Here is a 22,223-nt window from a genome sequence, read left to right as displayed (position 1 = left end):
AATGAACTTTTAGTATTTTTAAATGTAAAGTTCTTAAAATATTTTATTAAAATTTTTTGAAGTAGCTTAACATGATCAGGATTATTTTTAAATTAACTTCTAACTATTTCAAGATATTATATAATTGGTTGTTGCTGGCATATAGGCACATTGGTTTGTATTTTGACCTTGTGACCTGTATCTTTGAAGGAATCTTATATTTGTTATAATTGCTTGATTGGCAGTTCTCTTAGATTGTCCATGTAAACAAATATGTCATCTGCAGCTTTCTTCCTTTCTAATGCTGTATATCTTAACATTTGTCATTGCATTGAGTATCTAGGGTGTTCCAAATAGTGTTGAATCAAAGGGGTCAAGGAAGGCTTCATTATCTATCCCAAGCATTAAGAAAATGTCTTTGACATTTTACCTTGTTAAAGGATGATTATTTCTGAAGGATTTTATTAGATAACTTTTATTGGGTTAAGGATGCTTTATTCCTAGTTTCTTAAAATTTAAAAAATTTTGAATGGACCAAATCTTATTCTTGAATCTCTAAGATATTACTGGACTTTTTCTCCCTTTAATCTCTTAGTAAAGTGAATTACATGGAGTAGAACCAGTTTTGCATTTTTGGGATATACCTTTTTGGTCACTTTTTGTTTTACTGATTTCCCTCTGTTATATTTGGTTGCTATTATTTTTTGAGAAATGGAATTCCCTTATTTTCATTGTGTTACTGTTTTTCAGTGCTAGTATCGAAGTAATACTCATCTCATAAAGTAAATTGTGTCCTAGACTGAAAAATCTAAAATCCGCATAGGAGGAAACAGATGTTGCTTGAAGCTTTAGTAACAGTGTTTAAGTCACCTGGCTTTAGTGCTGTTTATGAGAGTTGGTTTTTGAATACTGATTTAACTAATGGTTACAAGTATAGTCAGATACCATTCCTTTCAATTCAATTCTGGCATTTTGTGTTTTTGTTTTTTTTCCTAAAAATGATTCATTTCACTTATGTCTTCCAATTACGTTTCTGTTGTGCGTTGCAGTTTCTTGTGGTTTTGCATATCTCCGTATATGTTATTGTTATGCCCCTAATTCATTTCTAGTGTTATTTATTTTGCATCTTTCCTTTCTGGATAATTTTGACAGACATCTTTGTATTTCCTTCATATTTTTAAACAGTCAACTCTGCTCATGTCTGTGCTCTCTGCTGCTTTCTGGTTTGTTAATTTCTGCCAGTAAGTCTCAGGCTATCATTTTATCTCCAGGTCAGATGGGGTTAATTCTCTAGTTTGCGTTTTCTTTTAAATTTTGCTCACACTTTCTCATTACAGATTGTTTTCTACGTGGTTTATAATTTTTTATTACATGCTTGTCTTTGATGTCTTTCTTTTCTTATGAGAATCCTGTGGAAGTCCCAAGAACTCTCATTGTTGGAAAGGTTCCTCCAACATTTTATAATTAGCAATTCAAATCAATGTGTTATGTTAGATATATGAGTATTTTATTATATTAGGATTTGACACTCATGTGGGATACAGGTTCAGGCTTCTATTTCTAATGAGAGGCATTTGTGTTTTCATCCAGAGCCTGAGAAAGAGAGGCTCTTCTGCCCGCCTGCCTGTGGACGGGTTGTTGGCATTCCTTTTGTGCAGGGCAGGTATGCACAGTCCTTGGGGGTGCGCTGCCAGCACCTGCCCCCTGCCCTCCTGTGGGCAGACCCCAACCCCAGCCTGCTGGGCCCTAACAGACCCCCCTGCCTGCCACTGCCACACTCAGCTGCCTCCCTTGCCTGCTCTTTGCCCCAGCTCTGTGCTTTCTCTGTTCTGGCATCTGGGATTTCTCCTTCCTTCCTTTCACGTTTACTAATGCTTCAAAATTTGTGCCTGTCCCTTTTTATTTACAGTATTTATGCATTAGACTGGGAGCAGGGTCTGTGCTGTTTTTACAATGTGTGCTCGAAATGGACATCTCTAGACTTTCTTCTCTTCTTATAGTTTTATACTTGAGACACTTGTTGACTATGAAGTGAGAGTATTTAAAAGTGCATATATTGTCATGCTGATGCGTGTAAACACACTATCGTGACGATGCGTGTAAACACACTGACTATCCACACTGGGTTTTCTGGGCAGTACAATTTCAAATTTTGTTCCTCCTAAGCTCAGGCCACATGTTCTGATTTGGAGTTTTAAAGAAATGGAGAGTGAGCCTGGAAGAATTTACTAAATTGATCCCAGCTTTCTAATGTTTTGCTCAGGGCAGATAGCAGGGAAGCATTGCAAATAGGGTTTTGGCTGACAGGCAGGCTCCTGTGTGCACACACAAAGCCTACCCCACAAAAGTAGAGTCTGCTTCTCCGAATTCAGGCCACTCTCTTGCAGCTGAAGCCTCTGCTACTGCTCCCTGTCAGCAGCTCCCAGCTCTTACACCCCAAGTGGCCCAGGCCTCAGCTACGATGCAACTCGACTCAGCCCTGTTGTGTTTGGGGGACTGAGGTGCTGGACTCAGGGTGAGACACTCACACACCTGCCCTGATTTCCAGATCTTGGCCTAGCATGGGCCCCTCCCAGCCTGTGTTAGTTTTTTTTCACACTGCTGATAAAGACATATCTGAGACTGGGCAGTTTACAAAATAAAGAGGTTTAATGGACTTACAGTTCCATGTGGCTGGGGAGGCCTCACAATCATGGTGGAAGGCAAGGAGGAGCAAGTCCCGTCTTACATGGATGGCAGCAGGCAAAGTGCAGGGAAACTCCCCCTTATAAAACCACCAGATCTTGTGAGACCTATTCACTATCACACGAACAGCATGGGAAAGACCTGCCCCCATGATTCAGGTACCTCCCACTGGGGTCTTCCCATGACACATGGGAATTGTGGCAGTTACAATTCAAGAAGAGATTTGAGTGGGGACACAGCCAAACCACATCACTGTGCAGCCAGCCACACACAGAGCATTGCTGACCAGGGATGCTTGCCCGGGCCTCAGCATGCAGAGTTTCTATTGAGGTCTCAGTGTGCAGCCAGCCACACGCAGAGCATTGCTGACCAGGGACGCTCACCCAGGCCTCAGAGTGCAGAGTTTCTATTGAGGTCTCAGTGTGCAGCCAGCCACACGCAGAGCATTGCTGGGCAGGGATGCTCACCTGGGCCTCAGCATGCAGAGTTTTTAATGGGGTCTCAGTGTGCAGCCACACAGAGCATTGCTGACCAGGGACGCTCGCCCAGGTCTCAGAGTGCAGAGTTTCTATTGAGGTCTCAGTGTGCAGCCAGCCACACACACAGCATTGCTGGGCAGGGATGCTCACCTGGGCCTCAGCATGCAGAGTTTTTAATGGGGTCTCAGTGTGCAGCCACACAGAGCATTGCTGACTAGGGATGCTCACCCGGGCCTCAGTGTGCAGTTTCTATCGAGGTCTCAGCGTGCAGTCAGCCACACACACAGCATTGCTGACCAGGGATGTGCACCCGGGTCTCAGAGTGCAGAGTTTCTATCGAGGTCTCAGTGTGCAGCCAGCCACACACAGCATTGCTGACCAGGGATGCTCACCTGGGCCTCAGCATGCAGAGCTTCTATCAAGGTTTCATTACATTGGTGTGAGGGATTGAACCATTGGCCACAAGCTTTAACCCACCCACCAGCCCTCCCCTCTCCTGAGATCAGACTATATCCCACGGCTCAGAGCCCCCACTCACCCATCACATTGTTGGTCTTTTTGGTGTGGACAGCCCCCGTCCTGTCACCTCATTTGCATAAACAATCAGGTGTGGTCCGAGGGGCCCACCACAAATGACCTCACTCCCGTGACTCAGGAGGCTGCAAGGACTCAGGCTGCTTCCAGGAACAGGACCAAGGCTAGCCAAACTCCTTATCACACAACATGGCTAAAACGACTTATCATTCCAGCTAATCACCGACTCGTTTCTTCCTCATTCTCTCGTCCCACATCCTCCTCCACTGCCCAGGTAGTCAAGAAGATCACCACAGCTCCATGTGTGGCCCTGATGGCTCCATCAGGCTTGGTGGCCACCACCAGGCACCAAGGCTTTATTCGTGGCCCCCAATGGCTCTGTCAGGCTTGGTGGCCACTGCCGCTTAGGCTGACATCCTTCAGATTCATGCCTCTAGCCCTAAACCATTCTGACTCCAGAGCAAATTCTTATTTCTCTGAGCACAGCACCTGGGAGACAGAAGTTGGCTGATTGCATCAGTGAGCGACTTACAGAAAAAAAAAATTACTGGGTAAGCACATCTGAAGAAACAACTCATTGAGGTTTCTGATAATGAGACTTTCCCTTCCTCTGCAGTAATGCCTTTTGACAATAAGCTTAGCCTATTCATCTCTCCCAGCGTGGTGCAGCAGAGCTCCTCTCCTGAAAACCTGGAGGCATGGAAGATGTACCGTCCTCCACACGGTGCTGGACGTGGGGCCGTTGTGGTCCTGGGTTTACTCTGCTCATGTCATTAAGCCCCATCTGCCCTGCATGTGTCCCTCTGAGTGGTCAGTGGAGCCAAATGCCTGGTGCTCTGTGATTTTAGGTCTAAGCCATTTTAGAATCTCTGCATTTAGCGTTGTATGAATTCACTGCTCACTGCACAATGCGTCCTTTGCTCTGAATTGACCCAGTTGAGATTCTCGGTGTCCAGCCCGAGTCTATTGCATACGGAACGTCTCTGTGCATCAGAGGCGCTTTTTCACCTGCCTTGGGTCTCTTGGCATCTGTCTCTCAGGCGGAGGAGCCACTCACTGCATCCGGCCTTCCTCCTGTCATTTTGTTTGCCTTTGCCCTCCTCTGAACTTTAATTCTCCTCCACCATGAGAACTGACCAGAACTTGCCCCAAATGCAGCACCTCTGCTTTCAAAGCCGGGGAAGGAGGGGCAGGAGAGGGCCAGGGGCTGTGCTGTCTCTAATGTGGCCTAGAGGTCAGAGGAGGGGCCTTCATCAGAGCATCAGCCACCCCTTCCTGGGCCCTTGCTTCCCCACAGAGGGCATCTTGCTGCTCCCGGCGAAGCAATAATTGCTGAAAATGGGAAGTTAATTGGATGTGAGTGCAATGCCATTTGGCTTTTTGCTTAGCCAGGGCCAGGCGTGGGGGCAGGTTTCCGAAAGGGAAGCCGAAGACTCCACACAGCAGCTGGAATGCCGGGGCCTGAGCAGCCCCCAGAATGGCTGCTCTTCTTTCTCAGCAGTGCTGGAGAAAACAGCCAAAGGTCCCTTGAAAGTGAGAGCTGGGCTGCTCACCATGTCCTTCTGCACCATGAAGAAGAAACAAAGGAGACCCAGAGACTTCAGAGGCTCGCGGGCCCCCGGAGCGCCGGCTGCAGAGCAGCACCGTCTTTGTAGTTTTGCAGCGACTGTAATTAATGCATCTTCCTGAGGCTGCTGTAAACAGCCCCCGCGTCTGACTTCCGCCCACCTTTTTTACTCGATGATTTAAATTGTTTTTCTGACTTTATCTGTCACTTTATTTACCAGCTCTTAACCTTTCTTCTTTTTTTAAAATATAAATGAGTATAACATCCACTGAAGATTACGATGCCTTCTGGAAAGTGTGGCTGAGGCTGTCTTCCTGGAGAATATCCTCTGCTTGCCCTCCATTTATCTTTTTCTTTTTTTCCTGAAGTCTAATAAGCATTAATTTCCCAATTCCTGAATATGCCTAATGATTATATTTTTTCATTTAACAAGTAAAAAGCAGCTTAAAGGGCTTTCTAAATCTCTCACTTGGGTACACTGTATTCTCACAGAGTGACGGAATTTGGCACAAACATATTGGTTATAAATGAATATTTTATGACAATTAAGAGCATTTCTGTGGCTTTATTATTTGTTGCTCCACCCTCTGGTGAGACCTGTCTTTCCTTCAAAACCAAATAGACCCCAAATGTCAGATACTGGAAATGAGTGAGTACAGGGATGCAGGAAAAAATTCAGGAAGGTGCAAAAGTCATGACCTCACCATTGATGTCTCCATCACGGTGAGATCGAGGTCGTCTGTCAGATCACACAGTCTTCCAGAACAGACATTCAGCTCTGTTTTTACATTTTAGAAAACCCAGGAAGACTGGGAAAATATTAAAGGCCACAGTGGTCCAGTTTATCAGCAAGTAGTGTTTTATTCATCATTCTTGTCCCTGGTTTGTCAAATTAAACACATTATCTGTGGACCTTCAGCAGATACTGCAGATTTATCACTCGAGGATATTATTCAACGTGATGCCTTCTCTTCTCTTTCTGACTTAGCAACAACAGTTTAGAAAGGAGAAGGCTTGCAGAGAGAGAAAACGAGGGCCCTGAGGAAGAGCTGTGGGCCTGGCTCATCGCTGAGCTCTGGCTGTGTGGGGCCAGAGGGTCTGAGATGGCGCGTGCAGTGCCCAAGGCTTTGGCAACGGAGCCCCGCACACTGGCAGGCTTAGAACAGTGCAAAGCTCTCCAGGCCCTGCACCCCCCAGGGTCTGAGATCAAGGTCTTAGCGGGGCCGTGCATCTCTGAAGGCTCCAGAGAGGGTCCTTCCTGCCTCCTCCAGCCTCTGGTGGCCCTGACACCCCTGCCATTCCTCGGCTTACAGGGGCCTCCCTCCCACCTCTGCTGGGTCACCAGGTGTTCTCGGGAATTCTGGCCTCGCCTTCCCACTGGGCACTTCTGTCTCTGTCCAGTGTCTCCTTCTTAGGGACACCAGTCCCTGGATTAGGAGCCACTCTGATGGCCTCATCTTTAACTGGCTTCCCTCTTCGGAGACCATTTCCAAATCACATCCCATACACAGGAGCTGGAGCCAAGACTCAGACGTGCTTTCCTGGGGGACATAGTCCCCAAGCAGCTGGCTCAGCTCTGTGCTTTGCTGGGGGACATAGTCCCCGAGCAGCCATCTCAGCTCTGCAGGGGGTCAGGTGCTTGCGCAGAGCTGCCTCATCCTGCGGGTTCTCGGGTGCGGTGAAGGATCCGTCCTGGGGATGCACCATGCCTGCTTCTGGTGAATTATTTTCTGCAGTCTTCTACCTTTAAGAGGGACCTGGCTCCAGACAGAAGGTACAATTGCCCTAAGGAAATGAGGTCACCAGGCGGGCTCTGCACTCTGACCTGGTCACAGGGAGCACGCCTGGCCCGTGCTTTCCACTGGGACCCCAGGTGATGTTGCTTCTGTCCAGGAAAAATGCTTCTAATCTAACAAAATAGTATTAGAATTATCATTGTTATTATTACCTGTGTATGTATTTTCTCTCTACATGTCTTTGATGATGTCGTAAACTGGTAGATCGAGTACTGTTTACTTACATAGAGCCCATCCTCATTTTATCAGCTGTTTTGCAGCTGAGTTGGGAGTGGGGAGGAGAAGCCTGTGAACGTGTTATTTCTGGTTGCTATGTTTGCTGTGTGGATGGGCAGGACAGGAGCCTCCAGCCCCTGTGAACATGTTATTTCTGGTTGCTGTGTTTGCTGTGTGGATGGGCAGGACAGGAGCCTCCAGCCCCTGTGAACGTGTTATTTCTGGTTGCTGTGTTTGCCATGTGGATGGGCAGGGCCGGAGCTCCCAGCCCCTGTGAACGTGTTATTTCTGGTTACTGTGTTTGCTGTGTGGATGGGCAGGACAGGAGCCTCCAGCCCCTGTGAACGTGTTATTTCTGCTTGCTGTATTTGCTGTGTGGATGGGCAGGGCCAGAGCTCCCAGCCCCTTTGAAGGTGCTTTCTGGACCTTCTCTGCTTGGCAAAAACAGCTGAAGGTAGAAGGCGGTTAAAGGCTTTTCTTCTATTTCCAAATGGCATGGCCATACACATATCTCTTCTTTTTCTTCAGGCGGCCTGCAGAGATTAGGAAGCCTGATGTTGAGAAATGTCACTGGTTTCTTTGGGGTAGAATTCGGAAGAATGCTTTTAGAGGGAAATCATAGGATTGGCCTTAAGTTTAAGGGACACTTAGAGGAGACAGAGGACAGGATATGAACCCCATGCCCTAGCAAGTGGATACGGACCCCGTGCCCCCGGCGAGAGGATACGGACCCCGTGCCCCCGGCGAGAGGATACGGACCCCGTGCCCCCGGCGAGTGGATACGGACCCCGTGCCCCCGGCGAGTGGATACGGACCCCGTGCCCACGGCGAGTGGTGGGGAGGCTGCCAGGCAGGACAGAGGTGTGGGTTCTTCTTTGCTCCAGAGCAGGGGTGTTCGAGTCTCAGTGGCTCATGTCACACCAGGTGACTGGAGCAAAATAGCCCCATGTGCTGGTTTGAACATGAAGACAGCTGATTCCACCAGGTTAACCAGCCTTCAGCCTGGTGATGTGGTGGTTCTGGCCTGGCCGTGGTCCCCGCCCTTTCAGAGACCCTGGTCTCCTAATGCCGCAAGGAGAGGTGGCCTCCCTCCTTCTGGTGCACGCTGGACTCTCCCCACGCTCCCTGAGCCAGCAGAGGCTCCTGAGGGTCTGCAGCTGCCCCGCCCTCCTGGGCTTCAGCCAGTGTTGCCTTGCGCGGGACATAGTAGCTCTGGGTAAAGAATGGCCCCCGGTCAGTGTTCAAAAAAATTAGGGCCTTCTTCCTAAGGCCACTACTGTTCAAACAGTGTTTTCCTTCTGACAGTTAAATATTTACTTTCTCCAGGTGGCGTCGGTTGGTCAGTGGAGTCCGCCTGTCTCCGCTGGGCTGCGTCGGTTGGTTAGTGGAGTCCACCTGTCTCCTCCTTGCTCCTGGCTTGCGGTTCTCTCCTCTGCCGTCTCTGGCTGGGCCTTGCAGGCTCTGGCTGCTTCTCCTGCAGTTCATTTTGTTGTTCTTTCCTCTCTCGTCTGAAATGGCCTCTGTCCTAGATTCAGGAGGGAAAGGAGGAAACCGGTGGGGCCTGGCCGCTGCTTCTCCTGGCCTTGTTCTTCAGGCTCCCTTTGAAGGTTTCGAGCTTCTGCTCTTGCTCTCCTGCCTCTTCCTCCATGCCTGCTGCTTCTGCGAGCTGTAGTTTACATTCTGGCTGGCCGCAGCCGGGTCCTCAGGACTTGAGGAGAGGGTCCTGTCAGGGCCAGCGTTCTGGTGGGGTTTTCAGCCATGAAAATGTCCAGAGAATTTTGGTCTGAGCTGGAGAGGAGACAACAGCGTGGATGTGACACTGGGGAGAAAAAGCTTGGGCCCTGATTCTTGTCTGGCCATCTTGGATCATAGACGAATTATTCACAAGAGGGTCTCTGCCTAAAACTCACCATGGTGGCTTTCTTGGTGTACTTTTCATGTCTAAAATGTATGTAAAGTTCAAACTTTAAGGCTGCAGAAGGAAGTGAAGGCTTTTGATGCTGTTTACAAATCTCTGGTTTCTGACTCAAGACCATGACGGTATGGGGGAACCCAGGCCTGACCTTCTCCCAGTTTTGGGGGAGCTGCCTCCTGCGATTCTCCCTCGGTGGCCCTGTTGGGGTGGGGCCCATTTCCTCTTTGAAAATGACATCCCAGTCATCTTACTTTCTCGGCTGTGAACACTCACAATATGTTCCACAGGATGCCAGGGCTCTGCTCCGCTGGAGAAACCTCCGTCCCAAACTCTGTCTTGCTTTCTCAATCATATTTTTAGAAAGTGAGGCTGGGTGGCTTGTGGGTTCCAGAAGCATTGAGGTTGAATCACAACTGTGAAAATATGGGAGTGAAAAACACAGTGGAGACACAAAAGGAGCATCGTGTCAGGATAGAGGATTGTGGAGGGTGCCCATGTGTTCCCACTGCAGCTGGCCCCAAGGTTCTCCCTAAGGTTTTTGGTCCCATCTCTTTCCCTCTGGAACTCACGATTTGGCCAAGAATGAGCACTCTCAGGCTGCTCCCAAGGAGGCCCAATACCAGCCCATGGGGGCCGAGAGCCACGTCAATCCACATCTGCCCCTCCTGGCATCAAGGGTCAGCCAGTGCCCTGCCTTTTAATTTTCCATTTATTTAAACAGGATCACATGATTTCATTTGAGAGTATTTCCTCCACCACTTCTGAGTGGAAGCCAGGAGACGAGGTGGCTTTCAGTTCCATTTGACTTCCTGCCACTTACATTTACCTTTCACGTACCTGTGGAAGGATGACCAGGGCCTGGCCTAGGCATGTGGGTAAAGTCCTGGCTGTGGCTGGGCACTTTCCACAGGGGCCGGCTCTGCCTGGGGCTGGGGTGGGTGAGCCCTGTTGGTTCTAGGACCCCGGACCTGCCTGGTCAGCGGAGATGATGGAGGTTCGGTATGGGAGGAGCAGGTGTGCTGTGCCCGTGAATGGCAGTTCCTGGGCCAAAAGGGTCGAGTGTCACGATGGTGGGGTCATTTGAACCGTTTGTCACCAGCATACCTAGGGCAGTGCCAACTGACACAGTGCCCAGAGCCGAGTGGCTGCTGGACCATCACTGCTGTGTGTCCTGTGTTCACGCAGCCCTGCAGAGGACAGGGCCGTGTGGTCAGGCCTCTTGATGGGGCCTCCTTGCACCTGACCTGTCACGGTATACGTGGAGGGCACTCTGCCTTCCTCCCGGTGTCCTGTACGTCTGAGTGGAAGTGCTTTGTGGGGTGAGGGCACCTCTGTGGGGCTCAGGGGGCAGCTTTGAAACAGTGGCCAGGGTGCTCCCCACAGCCAGGCCCACTGCAGCTCCCTCCTGTACCATCTCACGTGGAAGAGGGTCTCGGTTTTGTCTTTAATTGGTAAAAGTTGTTTTAGTGTATGATTATGTAAGAACTATGAACACAAGGAATTATCTTACATTGTAAATATTTGAGTAAAAAGAATAATTTCGATCAATAAGGATGCATATAGCATGCATCACTCAGCTTCGCCAAAATCCACGCCATGCTGTCCGGCTGGCATCTGAGGGCAGCCTTGGTGCCCGTCCTCGGCCAGTGGACCTTCCCACATGGATGTTGTTTGCTTTGCGTTATTATGGTCCCCCCCAGCGAGCCCAGCCCACCAGATCAGACCATCTCCTCCTGAATCTTTGCACAAATACCTTCCATCATCCCTGGTATTTTACCTGTGAATTACTGTTAGGGAAAATATATCAGTAGCAGAGATACTGATTCTGTAATTTTTCCTAAATAGGCACTTACTCCGGATGAAACCACAAAGCCTAAATAATACATTAGCATGCGAAGCTCACCGAGCTCCTTCCCTCCGCGCCGACCCCGGTTTCCATCTAAATCGATATCTGTGCTGCCTCGACGGGGCCCGGCATGGGCCGTGCTTGGCATACAGAGCAGCTGCACCTGAGCAGCAGCTGAGGGGTCTTAGGGAAGCCGCTGCCCCTTCCAAACATGACTGCCTTTGAAGCCCCTATTAATTGTCAATAACAACTGCTACCTCCATTACAAAAGGAATTGAAAGCAAAAATAAGACCCGGACAATAGAACGTAAACGGAAGAGCAAATCCCACTCCGGATTGGAATTGTCTGCCGGGCTCGTTAATCCCTGGCCTGGCGCTGGGAGTGTGGGTGCCGCTTTTCTTAGGGTTTGCTTTCTGATCTTGTGTCAATTACTGCACAAAGCTTCACACCACACAGCGAATCCTTTTTATAAGTGTTTTAGTTTTTGTTCAATATTTTATGTTTCTGCTTCTAAATCTTACTTGCCGATATCCAACTGATAAGCTGAGCAGGGAAATACAAATACACCAGCCATCATCCCCCAAGGTGGTCACATATGTGTGTGTTTCTTTAGCTTAAGTGAGGTTATTTGATACTCGTGTTTGTTCTGTGTGGAGTTAGGCCTTGTCACATATAAGCAGTTGTGTTCCCACAGGGCTATTAAAGAAGTAAACCAAGTTGGCCACACAATTCAGCCTCTAAAATCTGACATTGTTTTCTGGGGAAGGCGGCCGTGCTGGGGGTGCCAGGAGAGACTTGGGGATGTCAGTATCTCTCAGCATGGCCGAGAACAAACACCCATCCAGTTGTATCATACCATGGGGGCCTTTGTCTGCTTTTTAAAATATTAACAATGTATTTTGGATGTTTAATAATAGAGCAGATGAGGGTACATCAACTGCATTGTGGCTTTACCTGCCAATCTAGTTACCAACCATCACACTGACAAGGAGGCGCGGCTCTCCCACTCTGAAATGATGCCTTTCTCTTCTGAGCTCCTAAAGTGCAGGGTGTTTTTCAGACTCAAAGGTCAAGTCCTTCTTAGAATAGGGCTGCATGTGTCTTTGTCCAGTGCATGTTTGCCTGCTTTCCTCGGGGCACCTGTCACTGCAAAGCCCAGCTGCCCGCTTACCCATCTGAGAAGAAAAGCTTATTCTGACATTCACAAACCACCCACTGCCCACAATCAAGCAGACAAGGACTCTGCAGGCCCCAAACCCCACTCAATCTTTTCGTTTCTGTTTTCCTTTTTCTTTTTTAGGTAAATTTTGTTGCTTATTGAAAACTTCCTGTGTGTATGACATTTTTCTAAGTGCAGTAGCAGAAAGAGGCAGTGGAAAGGAATTGAGGTCAATGTTGAGAGCACAACTGAAGTTGCTCATGCCTTATCCTCCCTGGAAAGCCTTCATCAGCTCCTGCCAAGCTGGCCTTGGCCCCCTTCCTGCTCCTAAAGCAGTTTTCTCTTCCATTGCTTGTTTGTCACAAGGTGTCTTAGTTTCTGCCCCACAGATCAGCCCCATGGGGTCAGGAGCCACATCCTGGTGGTCGTCTTCTTGGAGGGCCTAGGATGCACTCCTGGCTTACAATGCCTATGACCTTGTGGAGGACGTGGGCAGCGAGTGTCCCTAGAATCACAGCTGCACGGGTGCCCTGTGTGCCCAGGGAATGCCCAGTGCATGTCTTGGCAATCATTTTGGCATTTTTTTCCTCTTAAAAATCTAAATGTGTGTGTTTCACTAGAGATCTTGAAGTTACGGAGGGCTGCAGAGCGATTATTTCAGCTGAGTGGACAGCTCAGGGAACCTGTGTTCTTCTGATTGATTTGCTTCTTGGAAGGAACTGACTGTAGGTTTGCTGAGACTGACCAGTCAATTAAGTCAGCACTGGCCATCCAGATGCCTGGGTTTCTGATGTGCAAGTGCTGAATAGCAGTGAGGACTCGGAACCTCACCGCTCTAGAGCTTTGCTGGGATGCACTGGGCATGTTCACAACATCCCGGAGCTTTGTTGGGGTGCACTGGGCATGTTCACACTACCCCAGAGCTTTGCTGGGGTGTGTTTGGCATTGTCATAGAAGACAAAATGACCCTCACACATCAAGAGGAATTGAAACTGCTGATAGATACCAGTGGTTAGCAGCTCTGTTTGGAGGTAATGGTGGTATCTACCAAATATAGAACCCATGTGCCAGGCCCTGTGTGTGTGCCGGCATGTGTGTCTGCATGTGTGTGCCTGCGAGTGTGTGCCAGGCCCTGTGTGTTTACCTGCGTGTGTGTGCCTGCATGTCTGTGCCAGGCCCTATGTGTTTGCCTGCACGTGTGTGTGCCTGCATGTGTGTGCCTGCTTGTGTGTGCCTGCATGCATGTGCATGACTCAGGAGGGACTGACATGACTGAGTGGCTTGATGAGGGCAAGGGTAAGGAGGAGATGACAAACTGGGCATGAAGATTTGTTTACTCATTTCAAGATAGGTTAAGAATGTGTGTGTCTGCTGAATGCAAGCTCAGGGTCTCTACGCAACTGTCTTCCTTAGTTTCAGGAAATACTGTAGTCCAGGCAGTGGGGGACACCGCAAGAAGGGAGCAGAACAAGGAACTCGCTCCTCGGCTCTTCTCCTTTGCAGTGGATGGGACAGTGCTGCAGAATGTGCGTGTTTGAAAACTTCTGCTTGAGTTATTTCAAAATATAGATTAGAGAAATTTTTTTTAGAGTGTTAATTACCGCAAAGAAAAATACACACAGCCACAGTAGAGGCCAAGATGTCTTCAGATATTGGGAGCAGCACTGGCCACGGAGTGCAGCCATGGGAGCAGAGCCTCACCTGGGGACTGAGAGAGCAGAGACTCACCTGGGGTCTGAGAGAGCTGTCTGTCAGTGTTTCCCAGGACACAGGCCTGGGAGCGCTTACGTGGTGAGCTCCTCCTTTAGCGAGATGTTGGAGAAATAAACCAGGATTGGCTTCTGGCTACTCCTTGTCGACATGGGCTTAGGTGAATTCATTAAAGTGGTTTTCTGTGCTAAATTGTTGAGAGTTTTCCAAGATGAATGAGTTTAAAACTTGTTAATAATGAGTCACAAGAAAACAGCCACCGTTCTGCTTTGTGCCGTGATTTTTGTTTATCAGGGATAAATGCACACTGAAAACAAAGCCCTTTCCCATTTCCCATTGAGGACTAAACAGGAGTGCACAGAGTTCAGACTCACCAGGGCGACCCTGCTCTTGCCATCCCCTGCAGAACAAGGTGAAATTGGGCAACCGTGGAGGGAAACGCTACTCTTGATCATTGAGGTTTCTAAGGTCCAGGGATATTGTCTTCTTTTTCTTCCTATTTTTCAAGTAACCCAACAGTGCCCTGCTCCAGGGGTGCTCAGAACGCATTCCAGACTCATGGCGGAAGCCTCCGTGGGGGAAAGCCTTCTGGCGTGGGCAGCCTGATGCTTTGCTGCATCATTAAAAGCCAGAGGCTGCCCCAGACAGAGTGCCCAGGTGCCTGGGCCTTGGCTATGAACACATTACAGGCTGCCCCAGACAGAGTGCCCGGGTGCCGGGGCCTTGGCTATGAACACATTACGGGCTGCCCCAGACAGAGTGCCCGGGTGCCGGGGCCTTGGCTATGAACACATTACGGGCTGCCCCAGACAGAGTGCCCGGGTGCCGGGGCCTTGGCTATGAACACATTACGGGCTGCCCCAGAGTGCCCAGGTGCCGGGGCCTTGGCTGTGAACACATCATGGGCTGCGCTGGTCTTCCCTCAGTAATCACCGTGGGAAATCATGGAACTGGAGAGTGGGGGTGCTTCCTTGGGCCCTCATTAAAGGATGACCTGAAGTCTCGTGGTGGAGGCCGTCAGGAAGGATGGAAAACGCTCGGAACCGTGTAGGAAACGGAGTCATCATGCTGTAGGGTCAGCAATGGGGAAAGTAAAAGCACTCAGGTGATGCCCCTTGAGTTTCACAATTTAAATTCATCCTTGAATGTCTCCTCTCACCATGTCTGTGGAAGCTGCTGACAAGCAGAGGATGCACTTGGCTGGGAAAACCTTTCCTACCAGGACAAGCCCAAGACCGAAGCTTCTGGGGACCTGTCACCCATCTGGCCCTTCAGGGAGGAGGCCAGCTGGAGTGTGGGGTCTCGCCTCATGGTGGATGGGCGAGGCTGCCCGGCTCAGCCAGGGCAGTAGCAGCAGCCATTTCTCTGCCTCTCCACAGGGACCTTGTGAGGTCACCTCATTTTTTATTTTAATACTTACTAGGACAGAGGTGGGTAGATTCTAACCCATGGACAGCCCCACCTGTTTTAGTAAATAAAGTTTTATTGAAACTAGGGTTGGCCGATGTAGTGGTCTTTTCTGGTGGACTAAAATGCTACAGCCTGGGCAGCTTCAGCAACAGGAGTTCATCCTCTCCCCACTATGGAGGCTGGACATCAGAGATCGAGGTGGGGCAGGGCTGCTCCTCCCGAGGCCCCTCTCCTTGGTTGGCAGGCTGGACATCAGAGATCAGGATGTGGGCAGGGCTGGCTCTTCCAGAGGCCTCTATCCTTGGCTGGTGGGCAGCGCCTTCTGGCTGTGTCCTCACAGTGCTGTCCTTCTGCACCCATCTCTCGGGGGGAGATTTATATTCTGTGCTAATTACCGATATATTCCCTTCTTTTTAAAATGATATCCTCTGTGTGTGTGCGTGTGCGTGGGTGCATACACACACATTTATGTATCTATTTAGGTATTTGGTTTTTGCCGGCATCACTGATGAAGTTTCTCATGGTCTTGTCCTGAATTAGAAAAGCATTATATGCATTGGTCATTATCTTCCATGTTTCCTCCCTCTTACCTGCTGCTTTCACTCAAGGCTTTTGAACTTGTTTTCCCTTATAATTACTGTGGCTTGAATAGCATCCAATTCTTTCCTAATACCTGCTGTGTTCTAACAAAGCAAATATAGGCATTAGAACCTTAGAAACCAGAGGATGTCAACAAATTGGAGGAAATTCAGAGAAAAGCAACATAAATGATTAAGAGACTGAAGGATTTGTTTGTGAGAAAAGTGGAAAGGAACTAAGTGTGTTTGTCTTGGTAAAGCAGCAACTAAGGCAGGGCAATAAATGCCTTTAAGAATTTTAAGTATAGAAATCTCAAGGAGAGGGAATTATTTTTAGGGTGGTAGAGGGAATTTAATTACCTTAAGCAAAAACCGTCTGACCCGATGTCCGTCTAGGAACAGCCTCCTCTATAGAGGGGGCTCCGGCTGTCGGGGGAGCCTGAGTGAGGACGGCATCCACACTTCCGGCAGGACCAGGGCCTTGGAAGAAGAAGGTTATTGCAGTGATCCCAGTGGCTCAGGCTTCTTCCCTTTTTATTCAGCAAAACACAACTCCTGTGCACTCCCTTAGACTTGACACAGGATCCCTACTTTTGTCTTTCTTACCTATTCCGTTTCTGTATCAGTTTCTACCATAATCATTGGGTGTTGGCTGGTGGGCTTTGGGAGCTGAGACAGCCACGTCAGAGGAGGAGCACATGGTGCATTTTACCCCCAACATGGTGGGCAAGGCTGCCCCAGCCCCTGACTGCTTCTGTCCTGACGGCTTCACCATGACCCCGGGCCGGCCTCTCCTCTCCGCACCCACTATCAAGCCCACAGTGACCTCGGGACGTAGGATGCAGGCCAAACCCCACTTCTGTGCCCTCGCCCCTCCCTCTCCTCTTGTCCCTCACGTTCCCCGCAACCCAGAGCTGCAGGTGGCCTCTGCCCAGGCATCACCTGTTCCTGGGACACCCCCTCACCCCCTCATCTCTGAGAGCTCAGTTCAGGCAAAGCCCACTCACTGTAAGAAGTCTTTCTGCGTCTCTACCCAGATGGCTGCACAAGGCCACCCTCCCTGGAGCTCATGTATGTGTAGTGTTGGCTGAAGGAGGTAAGTTGCAGTAGCTGAGAAGCACAGGTGTAACTCACAGAGCCACAGTGATAATGACAGTGGCAGCAATAACGGGCAGCACTGGGGCTGGGGTCACCCCACCTGGGCTCTGGCCATCACACAGATGCTCCTGAGTTCAAACCATGCTCAACAAGGACACAGGGCCCCAGCTTGGGCTCTCACCAAGAGGATGAGCTGCAGTGCAGAAGCCTCAGGGCTGGGCATTGAATCTGGGTCCTGGATGGCCGGTGTGGTTTGGAGCAGGACCGCGGCCAATGGCTGGACCTGAGGAGCAGGGTCTGGGATCCAGGGATGTCTGGCGAAGCTGAGGGACTGGTAAAACAGTGGAAAACCGTGTCCTGCGGATGCCGGGGGCCGCTGTGCTGTGTCTGTGCGGCCCCAGCCACACCAAGGCCGAGCTGTGGCCTCAAGACCGAGCACAGGGTCCGTTTCATGCTGCGCGGCTCCCCCGGCATTGCCAGGCACAGCCAGGCCTGCAGATGTGGGGTCCCTGAGACCAGGTGGGACTTGGAGGGGACACAGCCCGCTCACCATCTTCCACTGAACACTAACTCTACAGCCTGGTTTGCTCAATATAGGTCTTGTCTATGATGGGACCTCAAAAAATCCTGCTGATTTAAAATAATTTAAGCGCCCTCTTTCATTCTTTGAATTTTTTAGAAGAAAGATACTAAGGAAGGAAAAGAAGTAATTGCACAAATAAAAAACAGTTAATCACGAGGCCTTGTGGGCATCCTGTGCAGCCCCATCCCTGGCCTCTACCGCGCTGTCTGACACGGTCACTCCAGCTCACGTCCTTGTAGCCACCCTTAAAGAGAGGCGGCGTCAGAAACACCACGGCCTCTGCCCCCTCCTTCTATCGCATGTCCTATCCATGTGCTATTTAATTACATGCCGATTGATTTAGCATATATTTGTTCATTGGAAATAATGCTTGAAACAAAATAAATATCATTTGGTGACAAAACACACTCTATTACAGAAACAGCCCCAGGATCGGGGAGGCCCCTGCAGCTGTGGTCTGAGTGGCATTTTGCCAGTGCTGGGAGCCCGTGGTGGGAGGATGGGCCTGCGTGAGCCCTTCGGTGGTCCGGCTGCAAGTGCTTCCGTGGGGGATCCAGACCCAGTACAGTTACACGGTATCTCATGCTAGCGTGGGTCACGTTAGAGTGAGTTTCTACTTCCTAATGTTAATGAATTAATTTCACTCTGTTTATACTTTCTTATATTCTCTTTTTTTTTTTTTTTTTTTTTTTTTGTTTTTGAAACAAAGTCTCCCTCTTGTCTGCCAGGCTGGAGTGCAGTCGCATGATCTCGGCTCACTGCAACCTCTGCCCCTGGGTTCAAATGATTCTCCTGCCTCAGCCTCCCAAGTAGCTGGGATTACAGGCACCTACCACGACGCCCAGCTAATTTTTGTATTTTTAGTAGAGACAGGGTTTTACCATGTTGGCCAGGCTGGTCTCAAACTCCTGATCTCAGGTGATCCTCCCGCCTCAGCCTCCCAAAGTGCTGGGATTACAGGAGTGAGCCACTGTGCCTGGCCTACTTTCTTATATTCTTAAAGAGAAACAAACTGAACGTTTGGTTAGGAACCGTCTCTACCACATACGGTAACAGTACACCGAGGCAGCCACTGTGGGACAAGAGATCCATTTCAAGCCGAGATGATTTTCCTTGTAGAGGCCTCATTTTCTGAAACAAATTTCAAAGTTAAGTGCACGTCACTAGTATAGGCTAAAAATGTGAAGCTCCCAGAAGTTAGCATTTCCAGGCAGATCCAGCTTCACGGTTTTCTACGTCACAAACAGGGATTTATATGCTCCCGGTTATAAATTCCATCAGAGCATGCACGCTACGCCTGTCTTCTCTGGCCACCTTAGCCGTGTGTTAGAAACATCATACAGGCAAGAGCCTTTTCCTTCTGCAGACAGCGTCCTGTCCTGTTGTGCTAATTTGTATGGCCAGCGGCGCCTGTGAACAAGCACACAGACTGTTCCAGTTACCCACCACTTCAGCAGCGCATGTGGCCTAGCTCCAGCTCCACACGTTCCTTGAAGAGGAATCAGGCTGGTCCTTTTAAATTCCCTTCCCTAGCCATTTAGAAGTCCGCAACACATACCCCATCTTGGCTCAGAATCTCTGGGAACTTTCAAACCCACTACTCGCTTGGCCCCAGAAACTGTGAGGTGCAGGGACACATGGAATCCGAGAGTGTTCACAACACTGGGGAGTGCACATCCAGGCCCCAGCCCACAGTGATGGGCTCGGAGGCTCTTCTGACCATCTCTGAGCAGAGGCTTCCATTGGAACTCCCGGGGCTGACTGCAATGCAAAATTAAAAGAAGGGGACCCCGATGGGCACAGCCTCAGGTGGCTTCTGTCTCGGAAGCTCCTTGTGCGTGTGTGAAATCCTGAGGTGTGAGCTGTGGAGCCGTGCAGAGTCCTGCGTCCTTCTGTCCCTGCTGGCCGCCCAGCCCTGGCTGGGTGCTCCTCCTTTGTAGCACCCCAGACCCCTCTGACAAGGGTCCCCACGTGGGCTGCTGCTGGGGAGTCAGTCATTCCCTCCTGTTCCCAGCCCTGTTCTCGGCTGCTGAGTTAGTCAACGTCAGCATCAATGCTGAAACTGTGTGGTTAACATAGAAATGAGGAAAAAGACATAAATTCTCATGGGGCATTTTGAAAGCTGACCTCACCCCTTAAAGTAGCCACACCCCATTTCAGAAATGCCTCTGCTAGTTCAGGCCTGGACTCCCTGCACACAGGTGCTCCTGGGCACCCCTCTCTGCCCCCAAGCACTGGGATGGAGCCTGGAGCCTAGACCCTTCTCCCTGCTCCTGGGCCTCATCCTCCCCTCCCCAGGGAGGGGCTGGGCACTGGGAACCTCAGGAGCACTGGACTCCCTGGGAAGCCTCTCTCTAGTGATTCCAGCGGGGCCTCTTTGATGTTCCTAGCTGGGAAAGCCAAGGTCTATAATTACCATGGCCCTTTCTTCTGAAACAAGCTCCTTCATTTTGAGCCACTCTTGTCAGCATGTGCTGGCGTTCATTTGCAAATGCACCTTGCTATCGTTTTAAAGCAAAAAATGCATTTCAAGAAGCACCACTGGGCCCTTTGCCATGGCGTTTGTTAACGTTATTAATCTGATTTAAATGAAAATTATCCTTTATATTGCTTCCCACATAGGCACACTTTTTTTCTCTTTAAAATTGGAAGGTTATACCAAACGCAATGTTTTCCTTTCCTGCAAGGATGTGTGGGGCTGTTTTAATACAGATTAGTGAGAGTGCAGCAGCAGGGCACTGTAGGTGGTGAAGCCCGGTTATCATGTGTATGATTAGTTTCACCTTGTAGCTATGTCTCTGAAAATGCAATTAACAGTTTCATATTCAGCGTAGCCAGCTTTTATTCCTGCCGCATGGTGTGCAACATTTGCATCATAAAAAAAACCTAATTGGTAAACACGGTCTTGCCAGCTTCTCTGCGATCCACCCAATTCTCTCCACGTTAATTGGCTCAGCTTCAGCACACGCTGGATGGAATTTCAAAGGACGCCGCAGATTAGAGAGCTGGCAAGCACTTGTGTTTCACGGAACTGACTCCAAGGAGACTCGGGGAAAAATATTTTAAATTAATGCCAATTGCAGGCGACTTGCTTGTCCAATTGTTGCCATGGAGACCGTTGGGTCTGCTAATCTGATGGGTGTGTGTGTATTTATTGGGATCCATCTCTAATGACCTTCAGAGAGGAAGTCAGCCATGCTGGGCTCCGCGCCTCGGACAGGGAGGCCCCTGAGTGGCCCCTTCTCGACTCGGCCCTTCTCTGGTGACTTTCTTACACTCACAGCCCACTCCCCCTCGCCCTTCAGCCAGGCGCGTCTGTGCTGTGGGCCCGGCGGGGCACAGGACGGGGTCTAAACACACACAGGCCACGCAAGGCATCTGTGGCTTGTGAAGTGTGACACTCTGCCCGTGTCCGTGGGGAAAGTCATCCGGACCTCCCGAGCCCTGCCCATCCTCCCCACCTCCCTTGTATGAGAGACTCGGAATCATCAGGGGGCTCCTGAAATCGGAAGCATCGTTTTTTCTCTGAGAGGCATCCGTGTTGATTTGCTGATTACGAGTCTGAATGAGAGTTCTTGGGAGTGGCTCTTATTCCCTGAACGAGGAAAAACAGCGGGTGTCAGGCCATGCACTGTGCGTGTTTTCCACCGAGGCCCCCAGAACCTGAAAAGGCCACGCAGGTGACACACTGGGACCCCACAGCCGTCCCTGCCACGTGTGAGGAAAGACATGAAACTTCCCCAGGGACGTGGCTGAGGCTTTCTTAGCGGAAGCTGACCCTTTTGTTCCCCCTCCTCCTCGATCGCGGCTTCCGTGTCTATTTTTGTCTTAATTACTAGGCTGTAGTGAATGGATGTGTTTCCCTTAGTGTTGGACCTGGGACCATTAGACAATTGTAATAGACAGACATGTTTGTGATTTGTTTTGAACTCCTAATAATAGCTGGTTGCTTAATTGCAGAAAATAGGAAGAAAGACCTCGTACGTTCTCTGCTACTGGCAAAAATCAGTTGTCTTTAGTTAAAAATTAACAATATGAACTGCTGGTGAGTAAAGAGAAAGGGCTCTGCTTTCCCCTGAAAGTGGATTCCAGATGCACATACAGGGGTGAGGGGCGGGGGCGGTGAGGACCTTTCTGTCTTCCTCCCACCCCTCCCTCTATCTCCCTCTCTCCCTCTCTCCCTCTCTTCCTCTCTCTCTCTCTCTCACCACCCCTCCTCTCACTTTTTCCCTCTCTCTCCCCATCTCTTCTCTATTTGTCACACATTAACTAAAAAGACCTCAGAGTTTTTAATCGGTAGACAGGGGATTTGTTCATTTTAGGTTAAAAACAAAATGAACAATCAGAGAACAAGTGGGGAAGAGGGAACTAAAGGTATAATGGCTTAGAGAAGTTCAAAGATCAACAACCAAATCACTAGATTCAAAGATTCAACGTGGAGTAGAAATGAGGCACAGACTGGCACTCTGCAGTGCTCATGAAGAAAGGTCAGCTGACCGCCTAGACCCCCTGGGTATCTGGAGCTGAATTGTTTCCCTCTGCTCTATCTGAGCCTCTCATTTCAGCAACCCACTTTTATCTGAGGGATTTGCAAGATACAAGGGAAGAAAAAGAGAGACAAATGAGAGAGCAAAAAGGGAAAAGATGATATTCAGGAGAAGTTCTTA

General features: G+C 49.6%; 1 protein-coding gene across 10 annotated transcripts in view, besides 3 other annotated features; it reads left to right on the top strand.

Moving 5' to 3' along the window:
* The window catches only part of PTPRN2 (protein tyrosine phosphatase receptor type N2), a 1,048,768-nt gene that overhangs the window by 550,607 nt on the left and 475,938 nt on the right, over nucleotides 1–22,223 (top strand). The gene's annotated exons all lie outside the window — the stretch shown is intronic.
* Nucleotides 8,446–8,740: an enhancer, noted in NCBI's record as "tiled region #9999; HepG2 Activating DNase matched - State 4:PromP". NCBI's record gives its function as "activates a minimal TATA promoter and a strong SV40 promoter by Sharpr-MPRA in HepG2 cells {active_cell/tissue: HepG2}" and the evidence as "EXISTENCE:reporter gene assay evidence [ECO:0000049][PMID:27701403]".
* Nucleotides 20,223–20,882: an enhancer, noted in NCBI's record as "NANOG-H3K27ac-H3K4me1 hESC enhancer chr7:157809027-157809686 (GRCh37/hg19 assembly coordinates)". NCBI's record gives its function as "activates a minimal SCP1, AML or CMV promoter by ChIP-STARR-seq in naive H9 embryonic stem cells {active_cell/tissue: H9 hESC(naive)}" and the evidence as "EXISTENCE:reporter gene assay evidence [ECO:0000049][PMID:30033119]".
* Nucleotides 20,883–21,542: an enhancer, noted in NCBI's record as "H3K27ac-H3K4me1 hESC enhancer chr7:157808367-157809026 (GRCh37/hg19 assembly coordinates)". NCBI's record gives its function as "activates a minimal SCP1, AML or CMV promoter by ChIP-STARR-seq in naive H9 embryonic stem cells {active_cell/tissue: H9 hESC(naive)}" and the evidence as "EXISTENCE:reporter gene assay evidence [ECO:0000049][PMID:30033119]".

This window comes from Homo sapiens, chromosome 7 (assembly GCF_000001405.40).
Source record: "Homo sapiens chromosome 7, GRCh38.p14 Primary Assembly".
Classification (NCBI taxonomy): Eukaryota; Metazoa; Chordata; class Mammalia; order Primates; family Hominidae; genus Homo; species Homo sapiens.
This window is presented reverse-complemented; position numbering and strand designations above follow the sequence as displayed.